The sequence below is a fragment of the Homo sapiens genome, chromosome 12 (genome assembly GCF_000001405.40).
Source record: "Homo sapiens chromosome 12, GRCh38.p14 Primary Assembly".
Lineage (NCBI taxonomy): Eukaryota > Metazoa > Chordata > Mammalia > Primates > Hominidae > Homo > Homo sapiens.
Genome location: NC_000012.12, coordinates 88,489,577 through 88,511,176, shown reverse-complemented (window position 1 = coordinate 88,511,176; position 21,600 = coordinate 88,489,577). Strand labels below are relative to the sequence as shown.

At 36.4% G+C, this 21,600-nt stretch overlaps 1 protein-coding gene across 2 annotated transcripts in view; it reads left to right on the top strand.

Annotated features, from left to right (window-relative positions):
* Positions 1-18,384, top strand: part of KITLG (KIT ligand) — an 87,679-nt gene extending 69,295 nt beyond the window's left edge. For both annotated transcript variants that reach the window (NM_003994.6, NM_000899.5), the window contains 4 exons: positions 4,040-4,149; positions 4,799-4,866; positions 5,942-6,018; positions 13,996-18,384. In NM_003994.6, the coding sequence (NP_003985.2) occupies positions 4,040-4,149; positions 4,799-4,866; positions 5,942-5,981 (218 nt within the window). In that variant the 3' untranslated portion in view covers positions 5,982-6,018; positions 13,996-18,384. The remainder of the gene's footprint in view (positions 1-4,039; positions 4,150-4,798; positions 4,867-5,941; positions 6,019-13,995) is intronic.

Below are 21,600 nucleotides of genomic sequence, written 5' to 3'. Positions count from 1 at the left end.
AAATACCTATTCAATCCCGTGCCTCTGAATCTGAGATTACTTTTTAAATTGCAAGATGAATGGACAGCCTTCTTTTTTGTTCACTGTTTCTTTTTTCTTCCTTTTTAAAAAATTTTGAGTCTTGCATTGTCAGCAACTTTTAGCTAGGTGATGTCACTCATGAATATGCCACTTAGATACCTCTGCACAGGACAAGATTTTGTGGTGCTAACATTCAGAGAGAAACAGACGTAAATAAAATACTCATAGTACAGTATACAATATGTATCATAATAGAATTATGCAAATGTTTTTAGGTGTAGCACAAAGGGGGTAAGACTTTTTTGGGAGAAGGGTTAGGGAAATTTGAAGAAAGCATGCTAGTTTTCAGGGATAACTCAAAAGCTGGCCATGTCAGAGTACCAGGGCATATGAAAACTTATTACAGAGATGTGAGTGTGTAAGGAAAAGTCATGGGAGAATGGAATAACATACAAACCTATTAGTTATCCAAAGGGAATTATGTTTATAGCATAACAGTAATATCCTTTATGATAAGCAAAGAGAATGTTTAAAAGATGTTTTATGTTTGAGATTCTTGCAGACAGTACCTAAATGATAGAGAAAGAAATCCTAACTTTGACATTATCTTATACATTTTCTAGAAATAGTCTTGACCCAACCTTCCTGGACTCATATACCAGTCAAGTTAAACTCTTTTGACTCTTCGGTCAAATGGAAGATCATAATACCTCCTTCACAGAGTTTCTGTGAGTTTTAAGTGAGTTAGTACACATGTGCTTGGAGACATAACTGATGTCTTATAAGAGTTCATCATTAAGTACTAGAACAATGAGATGCAATAAGACTTTGGATCAGTAATTATGTTGAACCTTTAGTGAGCTCTGGATCTGAATCAAGGAAGAATACTCATTTGCTTGTTTCATAAGCACCAAGATAACCATGTCACAGGCATGGTGCTCCTAAAAATGCTCACTCTAAAAAGAAGTTCAGCAAAATTATAGCACAATTCTTTGTGTTCTGTATTTCTACAGATGTTGGTTATTATTAGTCAAATGAAACAAGTCAGTTCCCAAGATTTCTGGACAGTGAATAGTTTTGGTAATAAGGAGATATAATTAATATGGTAATAACCCAGGAATTTGGGATTACTCAAATCCGGCCCAGATGAGCTTCCTCTCCACATAAATTCTCTGCAGGCTATCTTTGCATAAAATCAAAACTTTGTTGTCAGCTTAAGTTTTGTCCCCAAATACCCTTCATTTGGGCCTTGAGGCATGCAATTCAAATCTCATTGATTCCTACTCGATAGCTGCAGTGGAAAGTATTGAAAGTCATTCCCTGGAGGTATAAGCAAATCTCTTCTGATAAAGTTCTTTTTGTCTGCCTGCAAGAGGGACAGTAGTATCCCTGATGGACCAAAGGCCTGGTTCTTAAGCCCCACGCATGAACAAGTGAAATAAAAAAAGTGAGGTAACATTGACCTCTATGGGAGGTGAAGCTCAGTAACCTATGGGCGCTTCCCCCAACCCTCCTCTCCACTGCCGCCCCGCCATCCAGTCTTTGCTGTTTCTCTCCCTCCCTGTCTCCTGCAGGAAGATTGCTGCTGTGTCTTAGTCAGACTCCAGGATTGTGTATTGGCTCACAGTCTTAGGGATGGAACTGTCAACATGGTAGTCACCGCACTCTCAGAGAGCAAGTCTGAGCTTTCTTTAGTAAGGCCTCCCACACAGCTTTGTTGGAAGCCCCTTCCTTAGATGCTATCCTTCTGCCTGAGAAAGGTTTTAGGTAGCAAATTCCAGAATATCTCACTCTTTAGTAAGCTGCTTTTTGCTTTTGAGTCTGGTCTTTCCTTTGGTCTGAGTGGTGAATTTCAAGACTTAGGTTTGGTCTTTGTATAGAACAAGAAGAACATGGTGTTTGGCTACCTTGATTACAGGGCATCTGGCTGACCCAACGTAGATAATGGAGTTCTCCATAGCATCTTCCTAGCTTGTTAGAGTTTTCCATTGGATTTTAAGGACAAAATCTTAATTAATTTATTTGTTCTCTCTGTGTACATTGATTATGGCCTCTTAAGGAGGTTACCTAGTAAATCTATTGTAATTACATACCAGCAATCCCAATAGATAATGGGGGCCACAGCAGATTGGCCTTCAAGGAGAACCAAAACAGCCAAATGATTTATTTACAAACAGTATTATTAAAATTCCTCAAATGGTGCGAATTGTTTGTAACCCTGAATCCATTTCATATAGAGAGCACTTTTATAGATAGTAGTTAAATCCCAAACGAGTCCACGTAATCTTACATAATCCTTAAAATAGCTCTGTTATTGTAATGATAGTACTTTAATTATACCAAATCCCATTTTATTACTCAGATTTATTTTGGTGAGAAAATTCACATTGGGCTCCAACTTGAGATGGTAAAACATATCTCCCATGGGGCTATAGGATGTGGGGTGGGCCAGGAGGAGGAATCCTAAGGAGGATATTCATGGTTATGTGAATGGAAGACCCTATTTCTGACAACTCCCTACGTGGGGATCACCAGCACCTTATTGTTCATCCCTCACTGTCTCCTCCCCCAACACACACACACACACACACACACACACGTGAGCACACATCCATACATCCCATCATTAGAGTCTCCTTGGAAACATACCATTTATAGGATGAGGGAATTTCCTGCTCTCAGTTCACATATGGTAGAGGAATGGGCTGTTCCTGTCCTCACCATAGTAGATAAAATCTATTTCTGACTTATCAAGTTAAATCTATGAATTAATTTTTCCCTGTAAGATGTTGATACACACATAGTAGATCTATTATTTTATATTATGTACTCTAGGTACTTTGTATGTTAAATAGGTATAGGTATATAGAAAAATCTGTCAAAATAAGTTTCATGTTGGAAGAGACCCTTGTGGGAGATGTGTTTTGTTTATTTAATTCGTGAATCATTCTGCTCCTTTTTTTTTTTTAAAGACAGAGTCTTGCTCTGTTGCCCAGGCTGGAGTGCAGTGACATGATCTCGGCTCATTACGACTTCCGCCTCCCGGGTTCATGCGATTCTCCTGCCTCAGCCTCCGTAGTAGCCGGGATTACAGGCATGCGCCACCACACCCAGCTAATTTTTGTATTTTTAGTAGAGACGGGGTTTTACCGTGTTGGCTGGGCTGGTCTTGAACTCTGGATCTCAGGTGATCTGCTTGACTCGGCCTCCCAAAGTGCTGGGATTACAGGGGTGAGCCACCACATCCAACCTAAATTCATGAATCATTTTGCTTCTCATGGAAGAGCCAGGCAGGATCAAGAAAGGTGTCCCAAACCAATTCCATATATGTTCTCTCTCATTGAGTTTCTTATTTAGACGTAGTATGGGACAACACTAGTGCCTTCAACCATTCCCCTTAGTGTTAGTCTTAAGCTTTCCAACATTAAAAGTCCAAACTCTTAGTCCGTTGCACAGTGGCATCCGACAAATGTGTGTTGAAGATATGAACGTGGAAACAGCCATGATTCTAAGCATGAGATACCTAAAAATACTATAACCACAGTGCACATACAATTATTTAATATTTTCAACAGTCCAAACATAGCTGAATGCATACAGATCTTGATCCAGGTTGTAAAATGTCATGTTTAAAATTTCTGAGCAAGCTGTCAAGAGTGAGAAAGCAAAAAGATTTTAGAAGATAAAGGCATGGGAGATAGATTTGCTTGATAGTATAAGTCATTTTCCCCCCAGAAATATATTAAGTCTGTGTTCCATATGTGTCAGAATTACCCAAGCCAGATCTCTTTCTGTCTCTGTGATTTCTTTCTTTTTTAATGCATTCATCTTTTGGAGACTACATGGATTTATATTGCCTTGCAAAAGCAATATTCAGCAGAAAAATCAATCTTTTGAATACTTTAAACAGATATAGGTCCAGAATGTGTTACAGAAACAGTTAAAAACAACCACAGCATAAGAGCAAAACTTCTAGAATGGATATGCTGTATTCATCAGTGTGTTCTTTAAATTATAGGGAAGGCCAAAAATCCCCCTGGAGACTCCAGCCTACACTGGGCAGCCATGGCATTGCCAGCATTGTTTTCTCTTATAATTGGCTTTGCTTTTGGAGCCTTATACTGGAAGGTAAGTGGTACCATTCCTTTTTTTAAAAATATGCTATGTTTACATAAATTATCATCTTTTTTTCCTCAAGAAATGATCCTTTAAGAAAACAGTGAATTCTACCTTAGCTTATAATCTAAACAAAATTTAAATTTTATAAAGTTTCCTGTTTCTCATTATGTCTGGAGACAATCCCTCTAGCTGATAATTCACGCTTAAGAATTAGGAACTGGTGTTAATAGCCTGAACTAAATATGAAAAGGAAGATCTGACGAAAATCATATGATATACTTAAAAGACAAATAGAAATGTCATTTGTATTATCTGCTATTTTGGATTTCTACTCTTTTGTTCTCTTCTTATTGAAGCCTGTCTAAAATTTTAAAATGTGCAAAAATCATTGTGACTCAGCTTCTTGAAATGTCTTTTGAATTTGATTAAGTGTCAGCTTCTTTATTACTCTTTAGCCCCCAACATCCTAAAAATGTTGAGTTGATAGTACCATGCAGCTTTCATAATTTTTTATTACAAAGATATTTTGCATGCTACATGCTGAAAAAACTGTTATTGGAGTTATTGCCATAAAAGATAAAAGTGGAGTCCACTTACCTCTTAAATATTAGACCATTCATTGATTATTTTACAGTATATGTCTTTCTTCTTTTTCCAGAAGAGACAGCCAAGTCTTACAAGGGCAGTTGAAAATATACAAATTAATGAAGAGGATAATGAGATAAGGTATTTTGTTTTGCTAAATGTGTGCCCAATCAAGCATGACATTGCCATTTCACACACTGTGTACCTGCCCATAATGTCTTTAAGAAGTCCTTCACTCATGACAGTAGCTCCTAACCAGTGAGTCCCAACTCTATCCATGTTTCTGATGTCTCACTCTCTCTTCAGTGCTGCATCTCCATTTACCTACAGAATACCTTCACATAATTGTCTTCATGACTCTTCTTAGGGTTTGTAAAGGGGTTACCTCTGCTTTCTTATTTAAGTAAGGCAGCAGAATCTTCTCAGACTCCTGGTTGTGGAACTCTGGAGGCACATTTGCTCATGTTCTGTCTTTTCCACACTTTTATCAAAACATACTGATTCAGCTCTTGGAGCGTCTTCCTAAGCTTAGTTCTTTCAGTAGGAAGCATTATCATCACTGACATCTTTATGATCTCATGAGTTGCTGCCACTGATCTTTTCTTTAGCCCTTCTAAACTCAACCTTTAGTCACACTCTTCTGTAAACCCTGGTTCATAGTGTGACTTCTTATTCAAAATACGTTCAGTGATTTTCTCTTGTATATTTTATATATCTTTTATTTTACTCTGGCTTTCAGAGCCCTTAACTATTCTCAACATACTCGTTGTTTTCTCTAAAGCTGAATACAAAATTTGCTGTAAGATGACTTTCCATTCACTGTAGCTGGCTCTTGTCATTCTTTCACCTTACCCTATACTGCCCAGCACTCATATGTTCCCTTACCTTTGATTATAATTTTCATTTGGTGTGTTGCCTTCTCTCATGTCATGCCTGTATGTATACACAGACACATATGAAATGCATATAGGCATGCTTGGTATGTGTATATGCATATACAGAGAAAGAAATGTTTTAACTACTTGGAAAGACTACCTTAAGACAAATGAAGTCTTCCCTCTTCCCTATAGTAATAAGAAGGTAGGCTCCCCATTCAATTTTGCAATCTTCTGCTACTATATTTACAGAAAAGCTGCCTTTTACAATGCCGAGATCATGGTGTACCTCAGAATCTCTGACCAAGAGCAAATAAGCATTTTTTCTTATTGTTTTTCAGTATGTTGCAAGAGAAAGAGAGAGAGTTTCAAGAAGTGTAATTGTGGCTTGTATCAACACTGTTACTTTCGTACATTGGTAAGTTTTTTTCTTCTTTCCTTTTTTTTTCTTTTTTTTATTATACTTTAAGTTCTAGGGTACATGTGCACAATGTGCAGGTTTGTTACGTATGTTTACATGTGCCATGTTGGTGTGCTGCACCCATTAACTCGTCATTTACATTAGGTATATCTCCTAATGCTATCCCTTCCCCCTCCCCCCACCCCATGACAGGCTCCATTGTGTGGTGTTCCCTACCCTGTGTCCAAGTGTTCTCATTGTTCAATTCCCACCTATGAGTGAGAACACGCAGTGTTTGGTTTTCTGTCCTTGCGATAGTTTGCTCAGAATGATGGTTTCCAGCCTCAGTCATACATGTGCATGTGTCTTTAGAGCAGCATGATTTATAATTTTATAATCCTTTGGGTATATACCCAGTAATGGGATGCCTGGGTCAAATGGTGTTTCTAGTTCTAGATCCCTGAGGAATCACCACACTGACTTCCACAATGGTTGAACTACTTTACAGTCCCACCAACAGTGTAAAAGTGTTCCTATTTCTCCACATCCTCTGCAGCACCTGTTGTTTCCTGACTTTTTAATGATCACCATTCTAACTGGTGTGAGATGGTTATCTCATTGTGGTTTTGATTTGCATTTCTCTGATGGCCAGTGATGATGAGCATTTTTTCACGTGTCTGTTGGCTGCATAAATATCTTCTTTTGAGAAGTGTCTGTTCATATCCTTCGCCCACTTTTTGATGGGGTTGTTTGATTTTTTCTTGTAAATTTGTTTAAGTTCTTTGCAGATTCTGGATATTAGTCCTTTGTCAGATGGGTAGATTGTAAAAATTTTAATTCAAACTGAAATATTTAGCAAGAACTATACAGCATATGAGATGCCAAAGTTTAGAAACAAACTTCATTAGTAAGTCTTCTATCAAGCAGATGTCAGTATGTTGGCTGAAGCTGTTACATAATTGAAATGTGCATATCTAATTCATTGTGTATTCTCCAGTTTTGAAAGGTAAGCAGTGTTTGTCCTGACTAGTGGATTCATCTAGTGTGGGATATGCACAAAAATTAACAGTTGTATGTTTACTTAGACTGTTTTTGAGACCAGAAAATTAATTAGACAAGGGAAATATAGCAAATTAGGACTAAAATTAAGTATTACTAATAGAATAAAAATATATGGAATCAATTTTATTTAGGTGTGACCACTATAACATGACTGTATCCCATGTGTTAGATGCTGAAACAAGAGAAAACCAGAATGTTTCCCTGCCATTTTCAGGAAAAAGAGAAAACATCCAAATATCTTAGAGTCAGGAGAGTAAGATTTTCCAGGTCAATTGCCACCTTCCACATGACTAGTAATAATTATGCATTATAATAGTTCAGAGCCCAGGATGCACGGAACATAAACGCATGGCAGACAGGTGCTGTGACTGTGTGGGTCTGCGGAGGGATTGTGGGAGAAAGGAGAGTAAGATGTGGCTAGAAGGTACTGGTATCATTATCTCCTGTCCCGTCTGCTTTCTCTGCTCCCTTGCTGCAGATACTGTTGCGGGAAGACCCACAGCTGCATTAACTTAATCAGTATTGATTCATGCTGTCCCTCACTTTTGCTTCTGCTAATTGGCTGTTATTTTTGTTACTGGCATGGAATCCTGAGAGCATTTACCACAGTTGCATGCGAATATTCTCTCCTCTTTCAAATTCCTCATTTCTTCTGTGCATTCCCTCATTGTCAAAGGATTATTTACTCTCCTCTTTATTACCTAGATAGTCTGTGGTGGATTCCTTCTTTACCCTGCAAGTCACTGCCCTTCCAGCTTTAACTCCTGTCCCAGGTTCAGAGATTTGTCTCTAGACTTAATCTTCTTCAGTGGAACTGAGTCATAAATTATCTTGCCTCCTGTATGAGCTTACTTTTATGGTTATACAGCAACATTTTTTAACAACTCAAGATAACATGATATAATTATGTTGCACATTTCTCTAACACTGTAATACTTTATTCTACACACTCTGTCACTTTTACCTTCAATCATACTCTTGATTAACATGTCCGTAGCATGAATAGCACCCTCTATTTTCTGCTGCCCATTGCCACTTCTTTCTAGGCTCATTCTTCCTGTCAAATAATGTAAATGGATAGACCGTTTGCTTGACACTTTTTATTTTCCGAAGCAATATTTCCCAAGCTGAAACCATGCTTTTTCCTAGAAATTCATTTTTTTGCCTTTGAACCATAAGATGAGATTCACTGTTTTCTTTTTTTTTTCCTTCCTTTTCTTCTTCTTGACAGCCATTTCAGTTCTCTCAAGTGGCATTCACAAACCACACATTAAATGGTTAATTGAGTCTTAAATGCTCAAATGCTCAAGTAATGTCCTCTGTTGTTTGGTTTGGGATTGCATTGCTGGGATCCTGTTTTGGCACACAGGTCTTTAATCATGTGGTTTTAATTACGACATTCGTCCCATGACATTTGGGAGTGGATTAGGATACGGAAACCCAGGCCATTTGTTTAGGAGGAAAAAAGATGGTATTTTAAAGCAACCATAGTCAAACAACTTATGAATGTGTTGAATAGTCAGTTAGCATTCCAAGAAAAGAGTTAGGTCTTTCTGTTTCTTGCTGTACCCTCAACACCTAACTTGCTGCCCGTGCATTGTTGGCTCTCTATAAATGTTTGTTGAATGAGAGACTGAGTGAGTGACTCAGCCCTAAATGAAAGTTTAAGCAAATGGCAAAGAAGATTGTTCTTCTGAAGTAGGGTTTGTTTTTATCTTTTGTGTGAATGTGTGTATTTAATGTATTGGGTTGGATTAATGAGACAGCAAGGTATGCATATCAAGGGGGAATATAATCACATGAGAAATTAACTAATAAATTATTTTTCTTAAGGTATGAATTATTACTCATGTATAAAATGAATCACATTAGCCAGGTTAAAGAAGCCAGAATTATCCAGAAAAAAACCCAGCTCACTTATTCAGTAGTCAATGGGAAATAGATGGCAGAATGAATGAAAACATGACTCATTCTCCTTCACAAAGTGCCTTACTCGTCATCTCTGCAAAGCTCCACCAAGGCTCAGGTCACATACTGCCACCTACAAAAACCTGACTTCCCAAATGAAAATAATCTCTATTTCTGGCCCTCTAAATAGATTTCATATGACACTTGGTAGGACATCACAGTCACCTAAATGAACATTTTGTGCCCTTTTCAAAACCATAAACTCTTAGGGGGCAGGATTTTTTTTTCTTAATTTAGTTTTGGAGCCCCACTAAACAATGTCACTTATACTGTGCACATATAAATGATGAATAACTATTTGTTGAATAAATTAATGGAAAGATGAATGAATATCTCAGAATTACAATAAGATGAGAATAAAATATATGAAAATAAAAACAGAAATAAACTTGTATGTGTCTATGAGTACATAAGAATTCAAATGCTGAGGGAAAAGTAGGAAAAGAGGTAGAAAAGGGCCAGTTCGTCCTCAGAATCTGAAAACCCCAAAGTAAAAATGTGTGTATATCATTTGTAATCATCTATTGACTACCCATTATATGAAGTAAACCCTTACATTTGGCCTTCTACCAGCAGAGATGGAAAACCCTCCAAGGAACTCTTAAGTCTAGTTCCTAGATAGGTGTGTAGTAGAGGGAAGGTCTGGGAGAACAAACTGTGATGTGGTTGGAGAGAAAATCTTCTAAAAAATAAGAATAACCGTAGTAAAAAATGCCAAGACAGAAATAAAATGTGGAGTTGCAATTATACATTTAAAAAATAGATATAATTTGGATTATAATCATTTTCTTGGTTAACAAGGAAGGGGAAAAATACAAGGAATGACTCAGGTTTATGGCAAGGATTTCTCCCTGAAATGGAAGTTTCACCAACTAAAACAAATTAAATCAAGACAAATATTGGAACACTAGAATAGAGAACATATGGGCTAGTTCTCTTAAGGAAATAACCTATAATTGGAAAATGAAAAGAAGGAGGGTTTAATATCTTAACTACAAGGAACAAACGTGGAAGGAATGTATTGAACTAGAAACAACAACAAAAAAAGTTGCACCTAGGAATAAATAGGCCAGGAGTGGTAGCTCATTCCTGTAATCCCAGTACCTTGGGGGGCTGAGGTGGGAGGATCACTTGAGCCCAGGAGTTCGAGACCAGCCTGGGAAACATAGGAAGACCCCATCTCTACAAATAATTTAAAAATTGGGTGGGCATAGTGGTATGCACCTATGGTCTCAGCTACTCAGGAGGCTGAGGCAGGAGGATTGCCTGAGCCCGAGAGGTTGAGGCTGTAATAAGCCATGATCAAATCACAGCATTCCAACCTGGGTGATAGAGCAAGGCCTGGTCTCAAAATATAAAAATAAAAAATTAACTGAAGTGTGTTTATTTGACACCATGCGTGAGAACAGCTATGTGAAAAGTTAAAAATTTACTTGGTCACATAGCTTATGCCAAATATCCATAGTAGCATCCTACAAAAACCTTTTTCATATTGGGTTGTGGATAGCAAAGATTAAGATAGATAAATAAAACAGATGGATTACATTAAAAACTTTATGTTAATACGTTACAGGAAACTTTTGCTCTTTACTCTTCCCACAAATGTGATTCCAACAAACTCTAGCAGGTGCATTGATGGATGCAAAGCTTAATATAACTTTGTTGTGTCCTCAAATTGTTTATAGCCTACAAAAGGAAATCAGACATATACATAATAACCAATTTTTAAAAGTGAACTAAAAGTTTACAGAGTTACTTTGATCAAAGTCCAGGCCTCTGCATATGTTCATACAAGTTGTGAATTCAACACAGTTCTAGATACTGGAATGAATGACATATTAGAATTGAGCACACCCAAATACAGTTACCTATTTTTGAAAGGAGAGAGAAATCACTAACAATAGGAGAAAAGCTTCACTTTGTAAGTGGTGGAGGTAGCATCTGTACTGAGCACATGGCGTAAACTAAGTCAGTATAGTCCCAAAGTAGAAACTGTGTTCAAGGGTCAGTTTGGACAGTTGGATTCCAGTGGAAGTCACATATAAAGAGTTAAATGCTGAGAAGAAAGGGTGAGCATCGGTTTGAGAAAGGGTTTGAATTCCAGGAATGGGGCTTAAATGCCTTGTGTCACATAAGGAGGTATTGGGAGAAAATGGTGTAGGAAAGATGTGGGTGACAATCAAAGCTGAGGTGTGAGAAAACTAATCGGGTGTTGGTATGGCAAGATGTACGGGAGTGGTTAACTAGAGAAATTGAGTCCACTTACCAGGCCAGTCTTTAAATAAGATGTGAGAGAGAATGACAACTGAATTAGCATCAGGGCCAGGAAATAAGAAAGCATAGACCATTTGAAGACATTGCAGTAAAAGAATCAACAAATCCTAGTTACTAATGGGATGTGAGACTTGGCATCACAGGCAGAACTCAAGAATGATTTGGAGACTATGGGACTTACCAGAGTGCGGTGGCATTAACAGGAAATGGAAAATCAGGAGAAGAAGCTGTTGGTAAATATTATTGAAACTAACCAGTGGCCAAATATGTTAGACTGGAACTTCAGATAACAGTCAGGCCTGGAAAGAATGATTTGCAATTTGAGAGTTATCTGCAAAGAATCTTATTTGAGACCTTGAAAGAGAAATTGCTTAGTCACAGAAATGGCCCCGTGTGGTTGATAGTAAATAGCATGGGTTTGATTGTGGAGAGGTTCACTAAAGAAATACAAACAAAATTTTGGTATATCTGAGCTAAGGGGGAAGAAAATAAATCTTAGAATTGGAATAAAGGACAAGCTGAAGACAAGCTTGGAAATTTAGGCCTCAAGGCTTGGCAATGGTTGGTTACCAAATAGCAAGACCTGTGATTCTTTGCTAGATGTTTCCTAAGACTTTCAAAGCTTTGGGAGTTTGGTTTCTGTAGATACATTGTAAAGCAGATGATTAGAAAGGATTAGGCTTGGATTCAAGCCTTGACTCTTTGGTGTAGAATACTAGATGAATTTATATCAGTTATCAGTTCATGTCTTTTAAACCCTGGTTTTTCATGTGTAATGAGGGTTAGTGATAAATGTACTCTTCTTATTTCACAAGGGTTCTTGCAAGAACCCAGGTTATCATTATAAAAATTGTAGTTTTGTTCTATGGGAAAACAGGTGCCAGTCTTTACGTTTATTTTCTTTGCTAAGTGACCCGGGGACAAAAATCAAAAATAGATTTCCAATCTTCTCTACATTTAATTCTCTCTCTCTCTCTTTCTTTCTTGAGAGTCTTTCTTTCTTAAGAGTCTTGCTCTGTAGCCCAGGCTGGAGTGCAGTGGCGTGATCTCAGCTCACTGCAACCTCCGCCTCCTGGGTTGAAGGGGGTTTTGTGCCTCACCCCCAGAGTAGCTGGGACTACAGATGTGCACTAACACACCCAGCTAATTTTTGTATTTTTAGTAGAGACAGGGTTTCACCATGTTGGCCAGGCTGGTCTCAAACTCCTGACTTCAGATGATCCGCCTACCTCAGCCTCTCAAAGTGCTGGGATTACAGGTGTGAGCCACCATGCCTGTCCTATATTTAATTCTCTATATTAAGCTTTGTGTTTCCAATTATTTATACATTTAAAAAATACATCCTTTTGCTTTTTGTGATTCCCTTTTGCTTTCTAACCATGCTTTTAAAATATCTTCTATATATTTTGGATTTCTGAAGTTTTATCTTAGTATCTCTTAATTTTTGTTCTAGATTTAATTCTGATTTCCTAAATACAGGTTGTCTAGCTTCTAGAGTTCTCTGCTTGGTAAATTGTTGTATAAGACAGTTTTTAATATATTACATTTAGAGAGACTGGAAAAATATTGCAATTCTTATTACACTATGGAATTTTATGGCTAATCTGTGTAATGATCTCAATACTTTAAAAACAGTGATCTGTGATGCTGGGTTGATAAACAAGGACAAAAGTAGTGAAAGAGATTGAGCAGAGAAGACGAGAAATGCAAAACACATTTATTTAGAGACTGGGATTGAAGATGGGATGATACCATCTATATGTATTTTTTTTAAGTAGAGAAGGAAATACAAATACTTTACTGGAAAGTTGAAACATCTGAAAGCTAGTAGATTAACACAAGTACTGAATAACTAAAACAAAATATGGCTTTCATGCTTCAACAAGTACAATAAGCTATGCTGAGGCCAAACGAACTTTCCCCAGAACTTTGTTGGGATGCGGTGCCAAGATTACAGTCTTTCTTTTTTTGGTTGGAAGTATTGAACGAAATCTTTCTGCTGCTATTTCCTCAGCTGGAAGAAATGATTGCTAGAACCTAACTAGATAGTCAAGATACTAGAGCGGCTCAGTGGCCATGTGAGGCTATTACTTGTTGGTGGCCATTGACCAGCTTCTCCACCTGTCTTAGGGATCTCTTTCATGCTACTCCATCTATCTCCATTTCTCTAATCTCCACTCTCCAGACACTTTGTTCGTCAATCCTTCTCCCTTCACCCCTGTTTACTACCTTTTATAATCTTGCTAGAGAAATTCAAAGCTAACTAAGTTGATAATTATATTATCACAAACTGAGATCATTGGTAGAATGTCAGGAGGTATGAAAGTCACAGGGTGAAATATTTATTGAGTGTCTATTAAGTGCCAGACATTATTATAAGAGTGGAGGTACAGCAGTAAAAGAGATAGAGAAGCTCCCTGCCCTCATGGAGCTTACATTTTAATGGGAGGACATAGATAATAAACAAAAAGTAAGATTGTTTCAGATAATGTGTTACCAAGGAGATCATAGAAAATGACTGATCACTGCATCTAAGAAAATATTTATGAAGTTCTTTTCTGCTATATAAGTGAAGCATACATTGCAAATTTGTTACTCATTCTGTGGTCATATATGATTTCGGCTATTGAGATTTTTAAAAAGGCAGAAGGCAGATACACCATAATCTCTCTTTTCTTCCTTCCTTTCTAGGCTGGTAACAGTTCATGTTTGCTTCATAAATGAAGCAGCTTTAAACAAATTCATATTCTGTCTGGAGTGACAGACCACATCTTTATCTGTTCTTGCTACCCATGACTTTATATGGATGATTCAGAAATTGGAACAGAATGTTTTACTGTGAAACTGGCACTGAATTAATCATCTATAAAGAAGAACTTGCATGGAGCAGGACTCTATTTTAAGGACTGCGGGACTTGGGTCTCATTTAGAACTTGCAGCTGATGTTGGAAGAGAAAGCACGTGTCTCAGACTGCATGTACCATTTGCATGGCTCCAGAAATGTCTAAATGCTGAAAAAACACCTAGCTTTATTCTTCAGATACAAACTGCAGCCTGTAGTTATCCTGGTCTCTGCAAGTAGATTTCAGCTTGGATAGTGAGGGTAACAATTTTTCTCAAAGGGATCTGGAAAAAATGTTTAAAACTCAGTAGTGTCAGCCACTGTACAGTGTAGAAAGCAGTGGGAACTGTGATTGGATTTGGCAACATGTCAGCTTTATAGTTGCCGATTAGTGATATGGGTCTGATTTCGATCTCTTCCTGATGTAAACCATGCTCACCCATATCCCACTATACAAATGCAAATGGTTGCCTGGTTCCATTTATGCAAGGGAGCCAGTACTGAATTATGCCTTGGCAGAGGGGAGACTCCAAAAGAGTCATCGCAGGAAGAAGTTAAGAACACTGAACATCAGAACAGTCTGCCAAGAAGGACATTGGCATCCTGGGAAAGTCCGCCTTTTCCCTTGACCACTATAGGGTGTATAAATCGTGTTTGCAAAATGTGTTATGATGTGTTTATATTCTAAAACTATTACAGAGCTATGTAAAGGGACTTAGGAGAAAATGCTGAATGTAAGATGGTCCCATTTCAATTTCCACCATGGGAGAGCCTAAAAATAAATTATGACATTTAGTATCTAAGGTTAGAAAACCACGCCCACATGCTAATATGGGTGTTGAAAACTAGGTTACTTATAATGCAAGGAATCAGGAAACTTTAGTTATTTATAGTATAATCACCATTATCTGTTTAAAGGATCCATTTAGTTAAAATCGGGCACTCTATATTCATTAAGGTTTATGAATTAAAAAGAAAGCTTTATGTAGTTATGCATGTCAGTTTGCTATTTAAAATGTGTGACAGTGTTTGTCATATTAAGAGTGAATTTGGCAGGAATTCCCAAGATGGACATTGTGCTTTTAAACTAGAACTTGTAAGACATTATGTGAATATCCCTTGCCAATTTTTTTTATAATAAGAAAACATCTGACTAAAGTCAAAGAATGATTTCTTATGGTTTATTTTGATGAAAGTTCTTTTAACATGTCTTGAATGTACACATAAAGGAATCCAAAGCTTTCCATTCTAACTTAATCTTTGTGATAACATTATTGCCATGTTCTACAACCGTAAGATGACAGTTTTCAATGTAGTGACACAAAAGGGCATGAAAAACTAACTGCTAGCTTTCCTTTCATTTCAAAAGTCCAAGAATTTCTAGTATATTTGGATTTTAGCTTCTGTTCAAAGCAAATCCAGATGCAACTCCAGTAAGTGGCCTTTGCTCTTTTTTGTACCAAAGAGCCCAGATGATTCCTACAGTCCCTTTCTTCTCTAACATGCTGTGGTTCCTTAAATATGAGTAATTTCTCTAAGATATAACCCAGGTGCTTTGAGAAGCTGCATTAAGGTGTTCAGGCCCTCAGATATCACATGGTACACTTGATTAGTAATAAAACCAGAGATCAATTTAAATTGCTGATAGGTCCTGTCTCAGTGTGTGGCATTGACTGTTTTCAGGAAAATAGATACAGATTAATATGAGTTATGCGTGTAGGTTGTGTATAGATTGAGAAGATAGATACTTCTCAATCTAGTAGTTTGATTTATTTAACCAATGGTTTCAGTTTGCTTGAGCATATGAAAATCCTGCTTAATGTGCTTAAGAGTATAATAAATGTGTACTTTTGTCCTCAAACCTAGTAGCTGGGTTTTAACACTCATGGACATGGTCTTAATCAATGGAGTTAAATAAACAAATTCAGCAAGTTATTAAATCTGACATGGTAGGAGAGGGGAGATGTGTCCTGCTTATTAAATGTGTTGGTCCATTGAAAGTTACATGGATTGCCAATTTTTAAAACACTAAAGTTGAATAAAATGCATGAACAATAGAAAAATGCTGAACATTATTTTGGATGCTAGCTGCTTGGACATTAACTGTGTTATTTCTGCTTTGAGATGAAAATATATATTTATCTTTGCTTATTTTATCCCAGATGTGTTCTGAATATCCTTCTTCATAAATCATGGAAAACTCACTGCTGAGATAGTAAACCATGAAATCGCCTTTTCAGTTGGTGCCATGTATCTGACAGTTCCATCTTGGAAGGTTTCAAAATTACCTTTTAAAATGATCTCAGAAGTCTGTAGATTCTCAATGATACTGAAAGCTTTGCACCTCTTTGGTAGAAACCAGGTCTATTTAGAAAATGGCTTTATGATAAATGTTGCCTCCTGAGTGATAATGAAGTGTTCCTGGATATTGTATTGTAATTTAATGTGCTTACCACACTGCCACATTTTAATGAGTCAGAGAAAAATTAATTTTTCTTCAATACAATAATAGAACAAGTAGCCTATTCTCTTAAAAAGTATGTGAAAAGAAAATTATGAAAAAATATGCATACCTAATGAAGTATTGGTTTTAGTAAGAATTAAATACATTTCATTGAGCTTTAAAGTACTTTGGAGAAACTTTGGGGCACGTTTTCCTACTCTAATTCAACTAAAGTTATAAATAAAGAGAAAAACTCATTCAGAAATCATGGATTTTAAAAATATTTTACTGCAGCCAAGTTTTCATTTCAAAATGTAATTTCAGTTTGGAGCTTTTAGGCATTATGTATATTTAAAAAATATATTCTTCAAAAATGCATTTTGGCATGGTGGGATGGATGTTGCAAAAGATATCCGGAGCCTCCAGTCTGTCATTAACTGATATGGTAAATCACCTCTCTTCTTTGGGTCTCAATTTTTTATTTATCTATATGGTAAACTCAGAGATCACTCCTTAGGGGTGAGTCCTATTGCAATATGACCGACAAAGAAGACAAAATAGCATTGAAACTAACCCATACAAAATATCCAACTCTGGATTCTGTGAATAAGTATCTTGACCATAAAAAGTCATTGCTGTTCTTGTTTCTAATGTAAATAGTGTCCATTAGTAAAAGTGAAATTCAGTCTTAAGTAGGGTGAATTGGATCACCATTTACACAAGAGATGGCTTTTTCCTTTGCTTGAATAAACATTTTGGATCACCTCCAAAGAATGAAAACCAGTAGTACGTTTTAGTCATATTAGTCAGGATGAGAAACTATAAGATGTGTGTAACATTTGGAAATGCACCAAAGTGAGCGTTTAAATCTTCTCATTTTATTGAAAACTAAGAGCAGAAAATGTAAAATGCTCATGAAGGTTTTGAATGCCAAAAGATATTTTAGAATCAATTTATAAAGGGGTAATTCATTAATTACACTTTAAAATTGGAAAGTGGGATAAGAAATCTAAAGTAAACCAGCTTATCTTTGAAACAATATTATTTTGAAATTGGCTTTAAAATAAAACCATTCAGATTGAAATTCTAATTAGCTCATTTGTGGAGTTTGATCACACAATTCATAATGTTGCTGCTTTCCATTAACTAGTCTTGAAATGCCTTTGTTTGTAAAAATAAAATAATGGTACTTTCATTTTATAACAAGGTGTTTTTTTCAAGAAATAATCCATGCTAAAATGGATATTTGTGATCCTGAAATGTTTACTAAGCATTGTAAATTTATTTATAACTGCCATCTCCAACTACATCCTTATGATGTTTTTAACAATAAAATTAAAACAACTGTTAAACTAAAAACCACACCGTTTTCCAGTACTTGATCTCTGAGCTACAATACTCACTAAATATAATTTTCCAATCAAAATATTCTATTCTATATTCTAAGGGTTAATATGTGATTATAGTGTCCACTTGCCACCATTTTTTTAAATCAATGGACTTGAAAAGTATTAATTTAGATGGATGCGCAGATATACCCTCAGTTCAGTCATAGATTGGAGTTTGCATATAATAATGTAAATGTATGTCGACACTATTCTAAATAGTTCTATTATGACTGAAATTTAATTAAATAAAAAAGGTTGTAAAATGTGATGTGTATGTGTATATACTGTATGTGTACTTTTTAAAATAGGTGTATGTCCCAACCCTTTTTTATACAGGTTTGAATTTAAAATTACATGATATATACATATACTTTATTGTTCTAAATAAAGAATTTTATGCACTCTCATAAATTTACCCTGTCATTTTATATCTTAAGGTTATCACATATGTCTACAACATGGTTGAACATTTATTAAGCTACAGTCAAAATTTTCTGTGGAAACTTTTGTCATTAATCTAGATTTTATTAAGCTACAGTCAAAATTTTCTATGGAAACTTTTGTCATTAATCTAGATTTTGTTGAAATATGGACACAAGGGGATAAGAAATTATTTAAATTCAATAAATATTTATTGATTACTAAAATAAGTAATCAAGGAAAATAAAAAATGAATTAACACGACGTTTGCTTTCAAGAGATTTATAACTTGTCTGGAGAAAAGAAATGCAATAGATATATAGAAAAGCACTATAATAGATATAGATACAGAAAATAGATACAGATATAGAAAAGCAGTATAATATGTATAGTCCCTGAAGTAAATACCTACATGCAAAACAGAGGTCCAGTTAATGTGCTTAGGGCATGCAGGAAGGAGAAATGGATACAGAATAAGGGAGACTGTGGAGGAATTGATGTTTGGGCTAATACTTAGAAGGATGAGACAAATTTTTATAGTGAGAATTATGCCCAGTCAGGGCAGCATTTTCCATAGAAAGAAGTTATAAAATTTCTAAGCTTATTTTACCAACTCAAACAGGTATGTCCTTAGCATACACCAAATAAAAAGACACACGGAGAGATAAGACCAGACCCTTCAATGTAACAGTGAGTGCAGACACTATTCTTAGGGTCCCTGAGAAGCCTAGACTCCTTTGCTTGTTTCTGAGAAGAGGAATGACGAGATCAAAACGCACTACGGATCCTGTGATTTAGGCAGTAGATAATCATCCTGCTTAACCACTGGTTGCTATTTGACTCTCAAGCACATACCCTTGCTATATGACACCACACTTATTCACCCACCATTTCTTTTCAGAATTTGCTGATTCTCTCTCCTCTGTTTACCTTTTATATTGCCAACTTCGACCAATATATGACTAGATAACTAGAATAGCCTCCTAACTGATCACATGATTCTACTTTCACCCTTTTTCAATCAGTTCATCACATTATAGTCAATAATAGGGAGACATCTGGTGTGTGTGTGTGTGTGTATGTGTGTGTGTGTGTGTGTGTGTGTGTGTGTGTTTCTGGCTAAAACACTTGGATGGCTTCTCATTATTTTTTAGCTAAAGCCCAAACTCTTCAACACAGCCTACAAGGCTCTACTTGAGCCATCTCATCTTTTTTGTTTTGTTTTGTTTTGGATTGCTGATTGTTTTTGCCTTTAATCCATAAACAACATGAAGGTTGGGCCCATAAATACTAATATAACTGCAGTCCTAAAATTTAGTGCAAATTATTAGTGGAATTGAAACAAAATGTGATCTAAATAGCTATCACCTGTTGTACTGAGAAGTTATTTTTTAAGATTTTTATTATGGACAATTTGAAATATATGCAAAAGTCGATAAGATAGTGTAATAAATTCATATAACCATAACCCTACTTCAACCTTACTCAACTCCTGAATAATCTTGTTTTATCTAAACTCCCTATCCACTCCCCATTTTGTATCATTTTCAGGAAAGTACTTAAAAGTATTTGATCTGGAAACATTTCTATGTATATCTCTGTTAACTTTCAGAAAGCGTAACCCTGATACCCTTGTTATACCTAAGAAAAGTTATTAACAATTTCTTAATACCAAGGAGCCAACAAGTATTTACATTTTAACTCTTTTACACTGTACACTGCAGTATTGCACTAGAGTAGGGTATAAAATACAGTTAAAAGTCCCCCTTGAACATTAAAGTTAGTTTCCCTGGAGGTAAACACTGCTAATTATTCCTCATTAACTTCTAGAATTTTTTGGCATGTACAAACTATATATACATGTATATACAATACTAGTCTCTAACTTTATCTCTTTCATTTATTAGGAGAACGCAGAACACTACATCAGCCTAGATAAATCTTTACCCACTGCACCATAATAACCAGGAAATTATAGATAGGCATTACGATTATAATATAATGTGTGCCCTTTGGAATTTCAGTACTCAGCAAAATCTAACATACTATCAGAACTTTTTGTTAATTACCTAACTCAAAATTAAATGAAGCTCTCTTCCAAGGACATAGCAGCCTCAGCAGCACTCTCAATTGGTGGCTCTATTCCCCCTACAGGTGTTACTGGGTCTGGAGGTGGGTTCCCTGCTCCTCATTGCAGCTTCTGGGTCATTCTTTTCTCATCCTTAGACCCTTGTAGATTAGAATCTCCTGCTATCAGATTATATACCCACTGCCACTCATTTCTGCTTTCATGTACTAACTCCCAGGTTTTTACACCTCGTTTCTTGATGGGTTTAGCACCTAGGTGGATAACTGTCACTGGATTCATTTGTATAATACTATTGCTTTAATTCTTGAGGGTGTTACTATAACCATAAATGGGCCTTTAAACATTCTTCACTTTCAGGTTATTGAATTTCTGTCCTCCTAGGAAACTTGCCTTCAACACTATTCTAACCGATCGGTCTCATGGTCTTCCTACACACCTTGCTGTTGCCATTAACTGCAACCCATTCGTGTGTCAATTGCATTCATTCCATCTCTGAGCACGACTTTGTATCTTTCCAGTTTGCTCCCTCATATACCCCAATCCTAACAATCCTTTAACTCACTGGGCCTGTCAACCTATTGATTCTACCATTTTTTACTACTGTCAATCTCTGATGCCCTCTCTTCCCTTCCTAGGCAGTTATTAAAATCTGTGGTCTGGCATTATCATTGTCCTCCTGCATACACCTTCTTCACCCTTGGTCCCTCTCACTTTCTAGTATTTGTCTGGTAAACCATAGCCCGGCTCAAATCCCATTCTCTACTCACTCTTTGTCTATACTTGTATGGCTAATATGGCTAGAGCACAATGCACCTTCAGGTCTACTGGTCTCTCTGTAAATTCCTTCCCATGAACTTCAAGTAGGTACTATATTTCCCTAGTCCATTTGCTGTTCTATTCTCAAAACAGACTATTTCATACATTATTTTCTCTTCCAAAACACGCACCTTGTTCCCATTCTCACTCTTAGCTTATTATCTTGACTACTATGGCACCTTGAATATTGAAGAAAAAAAAAAAGATAACTTTCAAAGACTCCTAAAAGCTAAAGGATGATTTTCTGAAGCTTACATTTCAAAAACTCTTACTTATCCAGGTTATTTATAAGTTCCAG